The 16,800-nt window shown below is 36.6% G+C and overlaps 1 annotated feature.

Annotated features, from left to right (window-relative positions):
• Positions 15,351-16,550: an enhancer, noted in NCBI's record as "BRD4-independent group 4 enhancer chr11:87979456-87980655 (GRCh37/hg19 assembly coordinates)". NCBI's record gives its function as "activates an origin of replication core promoter dependent on BRD2, P300/CBP, MED14 and CDK7 cofactors, and independent of BRD4, by STARR-seq in HCT116 cells {active_cell/tissue: HCT116}" and the evidence as "EXISTENCE:reporter gene assay evidence [ECO:0000049][PMID:35650434]".

The raw sequence follows: 16,800 nt of genomic DNA, 5'->3' as shown, positions 1-16,800 counted from the left end.
CTACAGTCAACACAAAAAAAGAAGTCCAGTCTGTCTGCCATGTGCCCCCTTCCACACACACTGTTTGTCACTAGACAGGAAACCCCCTGCTTAGGCCCATAGCATGGACCCTCCATCCTGGGCTGAGTGTACTGAGAAACTGCTGACCTGCATCTCTCCGGGTTGGAACCCCCAGGAGACAAGTAAAAGACCTTTGGCCATGACTACTGCTAAGGTCTGTTCATCTGCTGCCTCCACCTTGGGGAAGGAACATAAACACTGAGATCTCCCCAGAGATGCAGTGGGCAGCCCAGGAGTGCCAAGCCACGATCTATAGCCAGCACTCAAGGGGGAGAGGAACCCACACTTTCAGAGTGTTGACAGGGAATGTGGCTGCAACTGTGAGAAAACATAGGGGAGCCACACAACTGAGCAAGAATCTACCAATTGACCAGTCTGCCTAAGTTCCACCTACTGGATAACACCCCAAAGCTTCAACACCAAAAATACCTTGCTAACATACCCCACACTAAAACCAAAGACCAGAAGTCAGCTTCAAATAAGGACACTGCACAAAGCCTCAGCCCTGTGAAAACATCTGGAAAATAAGTCTCTTGACTGTATTCAATCTACACTGCAGTTAAAAAGAACACAAACTCACAAACTCTCAGAGATGAGAAAGAACCAATGCCAGAGCTCTGGTAATTCAAGTGGTCAGAGTGTTGTATGTCCCCCAAATGACTTCATCAGTTGTCCAACAGGAGTTCTTAACCAGGCTGAGGCGGTGAAAGTGACAGAAATAGAATTCAGAATATGGATAGGAACAAAGATTATAGAAATTCAGGAGAACAGAAAAACCCAATTAAAGGAAACTAAGAAGCACAATAAAATAATACAGAAGCTGACGGTTGAAAAAAGAACCTAATGAATCTGACAAAGCTGAATAACAAATACAAGAATTTCACAATGCAATCACAAGTATTAACAGCAGAATAAGCCAAGCTGAGGAAAGAATCTCAGAACCAGAAGACTGGCTCTCTGAAATAAGACAGTCAGACAAAAATAAAGAAAAAAGAATAATAAGGAATGGACAAAATCTCTGAGAAATATGGGAAAATGTTAAGAGGCCAGATCTGTAAATCATTGGCATCCCTGAAAGACAGAAGGAGAAAGCAAACAATTTGGAAAACATATTTCTGGGCATCATCCATGAAAAGCTCCCCAATCTTGCTAGAGAGGCCAACAGTCAAATTCAAAAAATACAGAGAAGTCCTGCAAGATTTGACCCAAGAAGATCATTCCCAAGACTCATAATCATCACATTTTCCAAGGTCAAAATGAAAGAAAGAATATCAAAGGCAGCTAGAGAGAAAGGGCAGGTCACCTACAAAGGGAACCCCATGAGGCTAACAGTGGACCTCTCAGCTGAAACCCTACAAGCCAGAAGAGATTAGGGGCCTATATTCAACATTCTTAAAGAAAAAAAAATATCTTCAATCAAGAATTTCACATCCAGCCAAACTAAAATTCCTAAGCAAAGGAGACATAAGATCCTTTTCAGAGAAGCAAATGTTGAGGGAGTTCATTACCACAAGACCTGCCTTTCAAGAGATCTTAAAAGGAACACTAAATATAGAAAAGAAAGATTGCTATGAGCTCGTACAAAAACACATTTAAATACCCAGACTGGTGACATTATAAAGCAATCACACAAACATAATAACCAGCTAACAACACAATGGTAGGATCAAATCCACACATATCAGTACTAACCTTGAATGTAAAGGGGTTGAATGCACTAAATGCACTTAAAAGACACAGAGTGACAAGCTGGATAAAAAATCAAGACCCAAGTGGTATGCTATCTTCAAGAGACCCATCTCACATGTAATGACACCTATAGGCTCAAAATAAAGGCATAGGGGAAAATCTACCAAGTAAATGGAAAACAGAAAAAAGCAGGGGATGAAATCCTAATTTCATATGAAAGAGACTTCAAACCAACAAAGATCAAAAAGACAAAGATGAACAAGGGCATTACATAATGCTAAAGTGTTCAATTGAACAAGAAGACCTAACTGTCCTAAATATTACATGCACCCAACATAGGAGCACTCAGATTCATAAAGCAAGTTCTTAGAGACCTACAAAAAGACATAGACTTCCACACAATAATAGCAGGAGACTTCAACATTCCATTGACAGTATTAGATGGATCACCAAGGCAGAAAATTAACAAAGACATTCAGAACCTGAACTCAACATTGTACCAAATGGATCTAATAGACCTTTACAGAACTTTCTACCCAAAAACAACAAAATACACATTCTTTTCATTGCCACATGGCACATACTCTAAAATTAAACACATAATTAGACATAAAAGAATACTCAGCAAGTGCAAAATAGCCAACATCCTACCAAACACACTGTCAGACTATATCACAATAAAAATAGAGGTCAAAACTAAGAAAAGAGCTCAAAACCATACAATTACCTGGAAATTAAACAACATGCTCCTAAATTAGTTTTGGGTAATTAATAACATCAAGGCAGAGATGAATAACTTCTTTGAAACTAATGAGAACAAAGATACAACATGCCAGAATCTCTGGGGCACAGCTAAGGCAGTGTTAAGAGGGAAATTCATAGCACTAAAATGTCCATATCAAAAAGTTAGATCTCAAATTAATACAATAGCATTACAACTGAAAGAGTTAGAGAAACATGAATACATCAACCCCAAAGGTAGCAGAAGACAGGAAATAACCAAAATCAGAGCTGAACTGAAGGAAATTGAGACACACAAAAAAATTCAAAAGATCAATGATTCCAGGAGTTGGTTTTTTGAAAAAAAAATAAAATAAAATAGCCCATTAGCTAGACTAAGAAGAAAAGAGAGAAGATCCAAATAAACACAATCAGATATGACAAAAGGAATGTTACCACTGACCTCACAGAACTAAAAATAACCATCAGAAACGACAAACACCTCTATGTACACAAACTAGAAAATTTAGAAGAAATTGATAAATTCCTGGACACACACACCCTTCCCTAGACTGAACCAGGTAGAAATTGAATCCCTTAACAGATCAATAATGAGCTCCAAAATTGAATCAGTAACAAATAGCCTACCAACCCAAAAAAGCTCAGGACCTTTTGAATTCACAGCCAAATTCTACCAGATGTACAATGAAGAGCTGGGACCATTCCAAAGGAAACTATTCCAAAAAACTGAGGAGGGACTCCTCCCTGACTCATTCTAAGAGGTCAGCATCATCCTCATATGAAAACCTGGCAGAGACACAACAAAAGAAGAAAACTTCAGGCCAATATCCTTGATGAACATTGATTCAAAAATCCTCAACAAAATACTGGCAAACCAAACAGCAGCCCATCAAAAAGCTAATCCACCATGATCAAGTAGGCCACATCCCTGGGATGCGATGTAGGTTCAACATACACAAACCAATAAATGCGATTCATCACATAAACAGAACTAAAGGCAAAAACCATGATTATCTCAATAGATGCAGAAAAGGCTTTTGATAAAATTCAACACCCTTCATGTTAAAAAGCTCTCAATAAACTAAATATTGAAGGAACATACCTCAAAATACTGAGCCATCTATGACAAACACACAACCAACATTATACTGAATGGGCACAAGCTGGAAGCATTCCCCTTGACAACCCACACAAGAGAAGGATGCCCTCTCTCACCACTCCTATTCAACACAGCATTGGAAGTTCTAGCCAGTGCAATCAGGCAAGAGAAAGAAATAAAAGGCATCTAAGTAGGGAGAGAGGAAGTCAAACTGTTCCTCTTTGCAGATGACATGATTCTGTATCGAGAAAATTCTGTAGTCTCATCTCAAAAGCTCCTTCAGCTAATAAAAAACTTCAGTAAAGTTTCAGGATACAAAATTAATGCACAAAAATCACTAATATTTCTACACACTAATAACAGCCAAACTGAGAGCCAAATCAGGAAGGCTTCCCATTCACAACTGCCACAAAAATAATATAATACCTAGAAGCACAGATAACCAAATCAGAGAAGACACACACACAAATGGAAAACATCCCATGCTCATCAATAAAAAGAATGATATTATTAAAATGGCCATATTGCCTAAAGCGATTTGTAGATTCAATGTTAGTCCTATCAAACTACCAATGACATTCTTCACAGAACTAGAAAAAACTATTTTGGAACTTATTTGGAGCCAGAAAAGAGCCCAGATAGCCAAGGCAATCCTAAGCAAAAAGAGAAAAGCTAGCTTTACTTAACTTCAGGGTACACTACAAGGCTACAGTAACCAAAACAGCATGGTACTGGTACAAAAACAAGCACATTGACTAATGGTACAGAACAGCCCAGAATTAAGGCCACACACCTACAACCATCTGATCTTTAAGAAAGCTGAAAAAAACAAGTAATGGAGAAGCCATATGCAGAAGATTGAAGTTTGACCCCTTCCTTACATCATATACAAAAATCAACTCAAGATTAAAGATTTAAATGTAAAACCCCAAACTATAAAAACCCTGGAAGACAACCTAGGCAGTACCATTCTGGACATAGGAGCAGGCAAACATTACATGACAAAGACACCAAAAGCAATCACAACAAAAGCAACAATTGACAAGTGGGATATAATTAAACTTCAGAGCATTTCCATGTGAAATTAAACTATCACCAGAGTAAACAGACAACCTAAAGAATGGAAGAAAATATTTGCCAACTATGCATATCCAGCATCTATAAGGAACCTAAACAAATTTGCCAGATAAAATTAAATAATCTCATTAAAAAGTAGGCAAAGGACATGAGCAGAGACTTTCCAAAATAAGACATAGATTTGGCCAATAAGCATATGAATGAAAGCTCAATATCACTGATCATTAGAACAATGTAAACCAAAACCACAATGAGATACAATCTCACACCAGTCAGAATGGTTATTATTAAAAAGTAAAATGAAAACAGATACTAACAAAGTTGCAGAGAAAAAGGAACACTTATACACTACTGGTGGGAGTGAAAATTAGTTCAACCATTGTGGAAAGCAGTATGGCAATTCCTCAAAGAGCTAAAAGTGGAACTACCATTTGACCCATCAATCCCATTACTGGGTATATAACCAGAGGCATATAAATCAGTCTGCCATGAAGACACGTGCATGTGAATGTTCATTGTGGCACTATTCACAATAACAAAGACATGGAATCAACCTAAATGCCCATCAGTGACACACAGGTAAAAGAAAATGTGGTACATATACACCATGAAATACTATGCAGCCATAAAAAAGGACAAGATCATGTTTTTGTGTGTGTGTGTGGGAACATAGATGGAACTAGAGGCTATTAGCCTTAGTAACCTAATGCAGAAACAGAAAACCACATATCGCATGTTCTCAGTTATGAGTAGGAGATAAATCATGAGAACTCATGAATACAAAGAAGGTAACATCAGACACTGGGGTCTACTTGAGGGCGGAGAGTAGGAGGATGGAGAGGAGCAGAAAAGATAACTGTTAGATACTGTACTTAATACCTGGATGATGAAATAATCTATACAACAAACCCCTGTGACATGAATTTGCTTATGTAACAAATCTTCACATGTACCCCTGAACCTAAAATAAGTTTTTAAAATAAAAATTTTTTAAAATAAAGTATATATACTTTATATATATATAAATAAAATTTATATATTTTATTTATATATATATATAAAGTATATATATATGAAATGTTATACCCAATTTTGGAAGTGAAGCCTGGTTAAAGGTGTTTGCGTCATGGGGGAGGATACCTCATGGCTGTCTTTGTGATAGTGAGTGAGTTCTGGTTTTGTAAAGTGTGGCACCTCCACTCCGTTGTTCCAGCTTCCACAGTGTGATATGCCTGCCCCCATTCACCTTCTGCTTCCTGAACCATCCCTAGAAACAGTGGCTGGTGCCATGCTTCCTGTGTAGCCTGTAGCACTGTGAGCCAATAAAATATTCTTAAAAAACAAAAATTACCCAGTTTCAGGTATTTCTTTATAGCAATGCGAGAATGGCCTAAAAACAGTTGTAAATGTAAAATGTTGTAAACATAATGATATGTGTCAAAAGCATGTATCTTTTTGGTAGAACAATTTATTTTCTTTTGGATATATACCCAGTAATGGGATTGCTGTGTTGAATGATATCTCTAAGCTCTTTGACAAATCTCCAAAGTGTTTTCTACAGTGCCTGAACTAGTTTACATTCCCACCAACAATATATAAGCGTTTCCTTTTCTCTGCAGCCTCACCAGCATGTGTTGTTTTTTGGCTTTTTAGTAGTAGCCATTCTGACTGGTGTGAGATGGTATCTCACTGTGGTTTTGATTTGTATTTCTCCTGTAAAGAATAGTGATATGGAGCATTTTTTTTCAAGTTTCTTGGCCACTTGTGTGTATTTTGAAAAGTGTCTTTTGCCCATTTTTAAATGGGGTTATTTGCTTTTTTCTTGTTCAATTGTTTAACTTTCTTTTGGATTCTGAATATTAGTCCTTTGTTGGATGCACAGTTTGCAAATATTTTCTTGCATTCTGTAGATTGTCAGTTTTCTCTGTCAATAGTTTCAAATCCTGTGCAGGAGCCCTTTACTTTAATTAGGTACCACTTGTCAATTTTTGCTTTTGTTGCAATTGCATTTGAGGACTTAGTCATAAATTCTTTCCAAATGCTGATGTCCAGAATGGTGTTTTCTAGATCTTCTGCTATGATTCTTACAGTTTACAGTCATACATTTAGATCTTTAATTCATATTGAGTTAATTTTTGTAAATCGTGAAAGGCAGGGGGTCAGTTTTGTTCTTCTGCCTATGGCTAGCCAGCTATCCCAGCACCATTTATTGGATGGGAGTTTATTTTGTTGAATCTCTCACAGATCAGGTGGTTATAGGTATGCAGCTTTATTTCTAGGTTCTCTTCTCTGTACCGTTGGTCTATGTGTCTGTTTTTGTAGAGTACCATACTGTTTTGGTTACTGTAGCCTTATAGTATAGTTTGAAGTCAGATAATGCAATGCTTCCAACTTTGTCCCAGTTGTCAAAGGGAATGCTTTCAGTTTTTGCCCATTCAATCTGATGTTGGCTGTGGGTTTGTCATAGATGGATCTTTTTTGGTTTGAGGTATTTTCTTTGATACCTAGTGTGTTGAGAGTTTTTATCATGAAGGGATGTTGGCTTTTATCAAAAGCTCTTTCTGCGTCTATTGAGATGATCACATAGCTTTTGTTTTTAATTCTCTTTATGTGGTGAATCACATTTATTGACTCACATGTGTTTAACCAACCACCTTGCTTCCTAGAAATGAAGTTTACTTATTCATGGTGAACTAACCTTTTCATGTGCTGTTGGATTCATTTAGCTAGAATTTTTTGAGGATTTTTGTATGTATGTTAATCAGGGATGTTGGTCGGTAGTTTCTTCATTGTGTTTTTGCCACGTTTTCATATCTGCATGATGCTGGCTTTGTAGAATTAGTTAGGGAAAAGTAGCTCCTTCTCAATTTTTTTGAATAGCTTCAGTAGAATTGGTACCAGCTCTTCTTTGTATGTCTGGCAGAATTCAGCTGTGAATCCACCTGGTCCAGAGCTCTTTTTGGTTGGAAGATTTTTTTAAAAATTACTGATTCAATTTTGGAACTTGATATTGGTCTGCTCAAGGTTTCTGTTTTTTCCTGATTTGATCTTGGGAGATTGTGTGCTTATAGGTATTTATTAATTCCTCTAGATTTTCTAGTTTGTGCCAAAAGAAGTGTGATAATAGTCTCTGAGAATCTTTTATATTTCTGTGGGATCAGTTGTAATGTCATCTTTGTCATTTCTGATTGAGCTTACTTGGAACTTCTACTCTTTTTGTTGTTGTTGTTAACTTAGCTAGCGGTTTATTGGTCTTGTTCATCCTTTCAAAGAACTGACTTTTGGTTTCATTGATTCTGTATATAGATTTTTGGGTCTCAATTTCATTCAGTTCTGCTCTGATTGTAATTATTTCTTTTTCTTCTGCTAGCTTTGAGGTTAGTTTGTTCTTGTTTTTTTAGTTCCTCAAGATGTGATGTTAGATTGTCAATTTGAAATCTTTCTTCTTTTTTTTTTTTCTCTTGAGACAGACTCTCATTCTAACCCCCAGGCTGGTGTGTGCATGGCACGATTTCAGCTCACTGCAACCTCCGCCTCCTAGGTTCAAGCGGAAATCTTTCTAACTTTTTAAAGTAGCCATTTAGCACCATAATTTTCCTCTTAACAATGCTTTTGCTGCATACCAGGGATTTTGGTATGTTGTTTTTCTGTTTTTATTTATTTCAAATAATTTTTTGATTTCTGCTTTAATTTTTCTGTTTACCCAAAAGTAATTCAGGAATAAGTTGTTTGATTTCCGTGTTGTTGTGTGGTTTTGAGAGATCTTCTGGTATTGATTTCTATTCTTATTCCACTGTAGTCCAAGGATATGGTTCATATGATTTCAGTTTTTTTGAATTTGTTGAGATTTACTTTATGACTGAGCATGTGTTCGATCTTTGACTATGTTGCATATGCAGATAAGAAGAGTATATATTCTGTAATTGATAAATGGAGCATTCTGTAGATGTCTAGTAGGCCCAGTTGGTCAAGTGTCAAATTTAAGTCTAGTAGGCCCAGTTGGTCAAGTGTCAAATTTAAGTCAAGTGTCAAATTTAAGTCTAGCCCCAGTGATCTAACACTGTCAGTAGTGTGTTGAAGTTCCCCACTATAATTATGTGGCTGTCTAAATTTTTCTGTAGTTCTAGAAGTACTTGTTTTATGAATCTGGGTGCTCCAATGTTGGGTGCATATATATTTAGGATAGTTAAGTCTTCTTGTTGCATCCAACCATTTATCCACATGTAATGCCCTTCTTTGTACTTTTGTGCCATTGTTGTTTTAAAGTCTGTTTTATCTGACATTAGGATAGTGACCCCTGTTCTTTTCTGTTTCCTTTTGCATGATAACTCTTTCTCCAACCCTTTACTTTGAGCCTATGGGTGTCATTATGTGTGACATGGGTCTCTTGAAGATAACAGATTAATGGGCCTTATTTTTAAATCCAACTTGCCACTCCGCCCATTTTAAGTGGGGCATTTAGACCATTTAAATGACCTTGAGCTTTTTGATGAGCACATGTCACATGTTTCATAAGCCGTTTCTAAATTTAAATTTGTTTAATATAGTTTTCAGGGTTAGAATGGGCTTATGAGGTTTTGTGAAGCTCACCCCCCAAAAGTGCCATTTTTATCACATCGTACCAAGGGTCTGTAGTATCTACATAATTTAAGACTACTATCTTTAATCACTTGGCTGGGGTAGTGTCTGTCAAGTTTCTCTATTCTAAAGTTATTCTTCTTCTCACTTCTTATGGTTTACTCTTTAGCAAGAAGTCACTATGCACAGGCTTCATTTAAGGAATTGTGAATTATATTTAACCTCCTTGAGGGTGAAGTATCTCCATAAATTGTTTGGAATTCTTCGGCAGGGGAGATTTGTTTATGTTATTTCATTCTAATTAAATTAATGACCAAACTAATAAACTAATTCTAGTTAGTTGAATTTTTTTTATAATTTGGATTATAATATAATAATTTTTTACTTATTTTGCTGCTCAGATAATTTCAGTTTTGGTCATTGAAGTTCTTTCCAGTTGCCCCATATCCGTCTGACATACTCAATAGTTGTGAGTTGTTGTTTTTTTTTTTTTTTTTTTTCAGCATTCCCTTATTTTCTGGCACTATAAAATCCTCTGGAATCATCTTTTATATTTTCTGTCTTAGCCCTAGCTTCAGCCATTTCTCTAAGTAGCCCTGTTTTCTTTTGTTGGAGAATGGTATTAGAAACCATGATACGGTGCTAGGTGTGTTTGCTATAACTGAAATATCCTTGATTCTAGGACTTCTCAGCTGACAGAGCAAGAAATATTTTTATATATGCTATCTCATTTACTACATTTCATTTTTATTTAACTAAATTTAATACGTTTAATTTTAAAATATGCATAACTCAACCCAAGTATCTTAACATTTTAAATCTAGTAGTGTATCTATCATTTGATCTGTATATAGGTATACAGGTAATTCTGCAATGATATACTCTTAATAGTACTGATTATTAATTTCGGGTGCTGAGATGTTGATTGTAATTTTATATATACGCTGAATTTTTCGTAATGTGAAGATGCTAAAAATCAAGTCACTTATTTAAAAAGAGGAAGGAAGAAAGGAAGGAAAGGAAGGAAAAGAAGGAAAGGAAGGAAAGGAAGAAGGAAGGGAGAGAGGGAAAGGAAAGAAAAAAATAGAGGAAATGAGGAAAGGAAAAGGAAAAAAGTTTGAGAAGATAATTCCATGATTAAAGTCACAGCCCTTCACACATGTAACCTGTAACCTGATTAGATCAATCTCTCCTAGCTTTAACTATTTCATAACATACCTTGAGAGAGTTGATAAATCTACTTTTTATTTATTGACTTGTGTGTAACAGGAAAGTGTCAAAACTTTTAACAACTTTTTTGTTCACTGCTGCTTCCTAGTGTAACATTTTTCAAAGCATATTAAGTAACAATTAGGGATCCAAATTTAAAAGTTGAAATGTAACCCCTAGCATAGTGCCAGTAACTAAACTGAGGTGACAGATAAACAGTTATCCTCTCTCTCTCTCTGTCTCTCTCACACACACACACACTCACAGAGCTACATTTGCCTACCTATAAGCAGTGACAGCTATGTTAAAACTTAGGCCAGTAACTTTTTGGCTTTGAGAAGTATCTTGATTTCAGAAACAAGTGGAGATAGAATAAAGTACAGCTTAGAATCAAGCCAATGTGATCTTTCCTGTTTTTGGGAAAACATAGGGCTAAACTGTGAACCCAGGTCAGCCATATAGATCAGAGCCTTCTATCTGTGTGGTATAAAAACCCTTTTATATTTTAATTACTTACGAATTGGTAATTCATGTGAGCCACATTTGGAAAAATCCCCCAAATCAAAGATAATATAATCAAAGACATTAAAGCAGGAAAGTATCTTTTAAATTAAGCCAGTTAAAGTCCTCCCTAAATATACATACTTCCATTTCTCTTAATAAAGTAATGAAGACTCAAACAATAATTTTCTAAATTCATAGCAAAGTCAGGACTAACATCCACTTTCTGTCTCTCTGCCCAAGGCACTTTCCACTTCACCATCCTACCACAGTGCATCTTATCTCATGACCTATAATAGATAATTAGAGATCTGGAGTAAATAACTCAGCCTGTAATTGAGAGAAAACATTACGTAGTTGGTCAAGGTGAGCTCATTACTCATAGGATAATATTTGAGAGACCCAGTCTGCTTCATATTCCCTGCTCTAATCCTCCTGGCTCACATTTGAACCATATATATATATATATATACACACATACACACACATATATATATATATACACACACACACATATATATACACACATATATATATATGAATTACATATATATGAAATTGGAAATAGAATAATTTACCTAGTTTAATTAAAATAATAACAACACTGTATGTACCTTCAAGAAAAAAATATTATTTTGCCCTAAAATTTTCCTTCTGGGAGTCCAGAAGGGACTATTATCGAATGTTCTGCCTTCTAACAGCTATGTTTGCTTTCAGTGCATTTTAAGTGGAATATTTTTCACCCTTCTGAGGAGGGCAGACAAAGACTTTAATTAAACAAACATCATATGGGAACTCTTGCCCCAAAAGCCATTAGTGGCCCTAATTAGCAGATGCAGCTGTAGACTCTATCAATATTAGATGGTCTGTTTATTGTGTCCATTTATATCACCCTCATCAGGGAGCATGTGGAAGGCACCCAAGAATTATCAACTTCAATTAAAACTAGCTCAAATAGTGAAGAAAATATCCCAGGCGAAAATGGGTCATGTAGAAGAGGAAGATTTTTTTTTAAAGCATTCTGGGAATATTACCAAGCCTTCTTTGGGAAAACTAGAGGATGTTTGATGATCTTATTGTCAACAACTGCCTGAGAGAAGCACAGACAATTGAGAGATAGGCTGGATTACACAGATGAGTAGCCAAGTAAGTCAGAGCATATCCCTCCTCTTCCTGGGGTTTCCAAGTACCTACCAGGACTCCAGGAGGCTTCATGCTAAGTAGGCTTGGAGGTGGCACATTTATTTAGGCATACTCATTAAATTCATCGTTCCAGGAATTATATAAAGTTAGATCTGGAAGTTCCTGGAAGGTTATTTTATGGATCTCATATGTAATATGTTATAAAATTATCATTATTTATTCAATTTCTGCTGTGCTTTTAGGTATTATTCTTATATTCACAACCCAAATCTGGTATTTTGCATTTTTCAGATAAAGTATTTAAGGCTCGAAAGTTTTAAGTGCTTTCCAAATGTCGTAGAATTAGTACGTACTAGAACCAGAATCTGAACTTCTATCTGATTCTGAATCCCAGACAGCTTTCTATACCATAGGGCTTCTCTGTATTAGTCAAAATAATTTAATATTTTGGCAAATAGTTTGTTAACATAAATAATTGAAGACCCACAACTTGAGTTTAAGCCCTTTCCCATTTTTCTAAATTCTCCTAGTCCCAGTTTATTTATTTATAGAATCAGAATAGTGCTTCTCAAAAATTGGTTTATATGAGATAAACTATGTAAAAAGATTTTGGTTGTGGGATATGCATAATAATTCCATTTCAGATCCTATTCTCACTTACATTTTACCATGACCTTATTTTAGACAGTTTGAGTGACGAATTCTTGATATCTCTTTGGAGGCTTATTGGGCTTGGTAACATAAAGCCTCACTGAAGGATAAGACATGATGTAATTGATCTTTGTGCTCTACAGAAATATAAGCTTCCTTTATTTATTCTAATTCCCAAGGAAACAACTGCTGGAGATATGTTTCTGCAGTATGAAAATTGTGAAATTTCAAAGAGATCATGATAAGCCAGAAGTAAGAAAGCTGCAATAGTTTAGAGTATGCTTCCCAAAAGTTTCTAGAAAGTGTCCTTAAAGGCACAGCAAAATGAATTTGTGTCTCCATGTGGTTTGAATGCCCTACATCTACCATGACATTTATTGAAAGATATAATTTATCGGTCGGGCGCAGTGGCTCATGCCTATAATCCCAGCACCTTGGGAGGCTGAGGCAGGCAGATCACCTGAGGTCAGGAGTTCGAGACCAGCCTGGCCAACATGGTGAAACCCTGTCTCTACTAAAAATACAAAAATTAGCCGGGCATGGTAATCCCAGTTACTCGGGAGGCTGAGGCAGGAGAATCGCTTGAACCCAGGAGGCAGAGGTTGCAATGAGCTGAGATCACACTATTGTACTCCAGCCTGTGAGACCGAGGAAGACTCCGGCTCAAAAAAAAAAATAGTGCAGTTCTGTACTCTGCAGTATATATGCTTTTTAGATTTAAAATCACTAAATCATGTGTTGACCCCCTTCACAATCTTTCATGTCATCCAATCATGCCATGTTCCAAAAATGTGCCGTCTTTATCCTGTGGCTCCTGGTGCCTCACTGGAACATCCCTAAGAAGTCCTAGAGAGGTACAATATTCTAGTGTAAGATGTATCTGTTTAGAAAGTATTTCATCCAAGCTAAAAATAAGCCAAAAATGATTTTTGCCTCTAGTAATTATTTCTGAGGCGATTGTCATGAAAATAGTTGCTTTTTGGCACTAGATCTAACATTCTGATAGTAATCCTTGGAGGTCAATTATTCCTGGATGAGAATGACAGGCAAGAGGAAACAGTTTGGGGTCACTATTTATATACTAGAATATTAAACCTTAAGTACCTCAGTTAACTTATTGTTCAAATGGAAGCAAGATTTAATGAAAAATAATAAGACGTCATAGTCCATAGTCTTTCAGTTTTATAGCTGATTTTATCTCTAGGTTTACTTTCAAAGCAGGTGTCATGGTCCATTTCTCAGACCCCTCCATTCAGGCCTGAGACCCTCAGTCCCCTAGTTTCCCCAGCTGTAGCAAATGTTGACTGCCTCACAGCTGAATCCCTCTCCAGGAATTGGTTATGGCTGTCAGCTGAATCCCTCTCCAGGCATTTCCTTCTAAGGGCACCACCTGGTCCAAGGTTAGCCCAGGATCTTATGCCACAATCCAGACCATCCCCGAAGTGCCACCCCAGTTCCAGAGCTCCCAAGCAGATTGGTTCTGTTGTTACTGTGTTACAAGTCAGTTTTTCCTTTTATTCAGTCCTACTTCCTTCATCCCTTTTCAGGTACTGTTCCTGCAAACAAATATCTACCCTAGAGTCTATTTACTGAGAAAGCTAGTTTACGAGAGCTTCCCATACTAGCAAGCTAGCTGCCTTTAATTCTCCCTACCCAGTGGTTTCTTTAGACACCATCTTTAAATTGAAATGTGAGAATAAAATAGAAACTATGTGAATCTGAAACATCATTGGCATGTGATAGGTAAGGATAGTCAGCAAAGTGATTATTTCCAATTCCACTAGTTTTAGTGAGAGCACTTATGCTTCAGGCACTAAACTGAATTTACTCGGTCTTGCTGATTTTCACAACAAACATATGGCATAAGTATTAGTATACTTGTTTAGGAAATAAACTGAGATTTATTTACTTGCTTAAAGTCATAGGGTTAGTACATTGTGAAATTAGAATTTGAACCCACGTCCTCCTTCTCCAAGTCTAGCAGTTTCTAATCTATCTGTGAACCATTGTGCAGTTTACAGTATTTTCAACTCTCTGCCTTCTGAGCACATGGTAGAATTGTACTTCACTACCGTTGTAATGTTAAATATGGCCATACAGCTTGCTTTGGTTAATGAAATGTGAACAAAAAAGCTGGTGCCTTTTTGCTTTATTTCCCTCCCCTGCCACAGGGAGTGGTGATGTTCTAAATGATAGTGGCTCAAAACTTTGTGTCCCTGAATGGAGACAGCATGGTACAGGATTCCCAGCACAACTCAAGGTAGTCACGGAGCATCAGGGAAAAATAATCTTAGTTGTGTTAAGTGACTACTGCCCATGAATTGTTTGTTATCACAATATAGCATAAATTGATGGATACATAAATTTCAACTAAAGAACAGATTAATTTTTTAACCCAAGATGTACTCATGGAGAATTGCCATTTTTTTTTTTGCTAGAATTGTAATGTCCTTAACATCAGAATTTGTTTTATAATGTAATGTAATTGAAAGAGTTTGGATTTTGCAACTACATAGACTTAATTTAATTTGAATTTCTGATCTAACATAATTGATTAATGACCTTGGGTTTTCATTTCCCTTTCTCAGCCCTCTTTAGTCATCTATAAAATGAGGCTAATAATATTTTCATTATAGCATTGATGTGATAGTTTCATAAAATAAAGTCTGTAAAGCTTTTAGCAAATTGCCTGACACTATTAATATCTATTAATAGTAACAAATAAGTGTTTTATAGAATGCAGTCTTCTCACCTTTGCATCTGAAAGTTATTGTTAAAAATATAGATTCCCAAGGCCCATTCCAGACCTATTGAATTAGAATCTCCAGGTATGAACTACATTTTGAACAAACTCCTTCGGTAATTCTTCACTGAGATAGAAAAATTATTGCACTAAACAAATGTTAAATACTTCTATATACACATATATAAATGGTTTCGACTGCCAAAAAGCCTTCCACAAAGTTCTTGAAATGATCTTAGAACTAAATAGGAAAGTATCACCCAGTGCACTATAGATGCATCAAAGTAAACTCAGCAGAGGATTTGGGGGACTACAAGGCATACTTCAAAGGGATAGCATCTTAAAAAAAAAAAAAAACTTGGTGAATTCTTTGTCTCTAAGTATCATGAGAAACACAGTCTGATGAGGGTAATCTTAGCTGATGACGAAGGAGGGTGTGGGACTTGAAGGCTGGCTGAAGTGAATCAGATGCCTATGAAATGAGGATGACTGCCAGTGAAAATCAGCCAAGGACACTTTGATCAGCGACTCATGCAAGTGAGCAATTATAACTCCGGAAATTCTGGAAATTTTCTGGTGGAATTCTAGCCCAGAAATTTTAGTTCCATTGTTTTAGGAAAAGAGGTGGTTTTGATTCCTGCTAGAGTTTTTGGTAGCAGTGAGTGACTTTGGAACTGAATATTATTATCCAAACCCCCTTCTCTCTAGGTCACTTTTCTTTTTTCTTTTTATTATTATTATTATAGTTTAAGTTCTAGGGTACATGTGCACAACGTGCGGGTTTGTTACATAGGTATACATGTGCCATGTTGGTGTGCTGCACCCATTAACTTGTCATTTACATTAGGTATATCTCCTAATGCTATCCTTCCCCCCTCCCCCATCCCACAAAAGGCCACGGTGTGTGATGTTCCCCTTCCTGTGTCCAAGTGTTCTCATTGTTCAATTCCCACCTATGAGTGAGAACATGCATTGTTTGGTTTTTTGTCCTTGCAATAGTTTGCTGAGAATGATGGTTTCCAGCTTCATCCATGTCCCTACAAAGGATATGAACTCATCATTTTTTATGGCTGCATAGTATTCCATGGTGAATATGTGCCACATTTTCTTAATCCAGTCTATCATTGTTGGACATTTGGGTTGGTTCCAAGTCTTTGCTATTGTGAATAGTGCCGCAATAAACATATGTGTGCATGTGTCTTTATAGCAGCATGATTTATAATCCTTTGGGTATACACCCAGTAATGGGATGGCTGGGTCAAATGGTATTTCTAGTTCTAGATCCCTGAGGAAACGCCACACAGTCTTC

Source organism: Homo sapiens, chromosome 11 (genome assembly GCF_000001405.40).
Source record: "Homo sapiens chromosome 11, GRCh38.p14 Primary Assembly".
NCBI lineage: Eukaryota > Metazoa > Chordata > Mammalia > Primates > Hominidae > Homo > Homo sapiens.
Note: the sequence above shows the minus strand (reverse complement) of the source record. Positions and strands in the feature narration are given on the sequence as shown.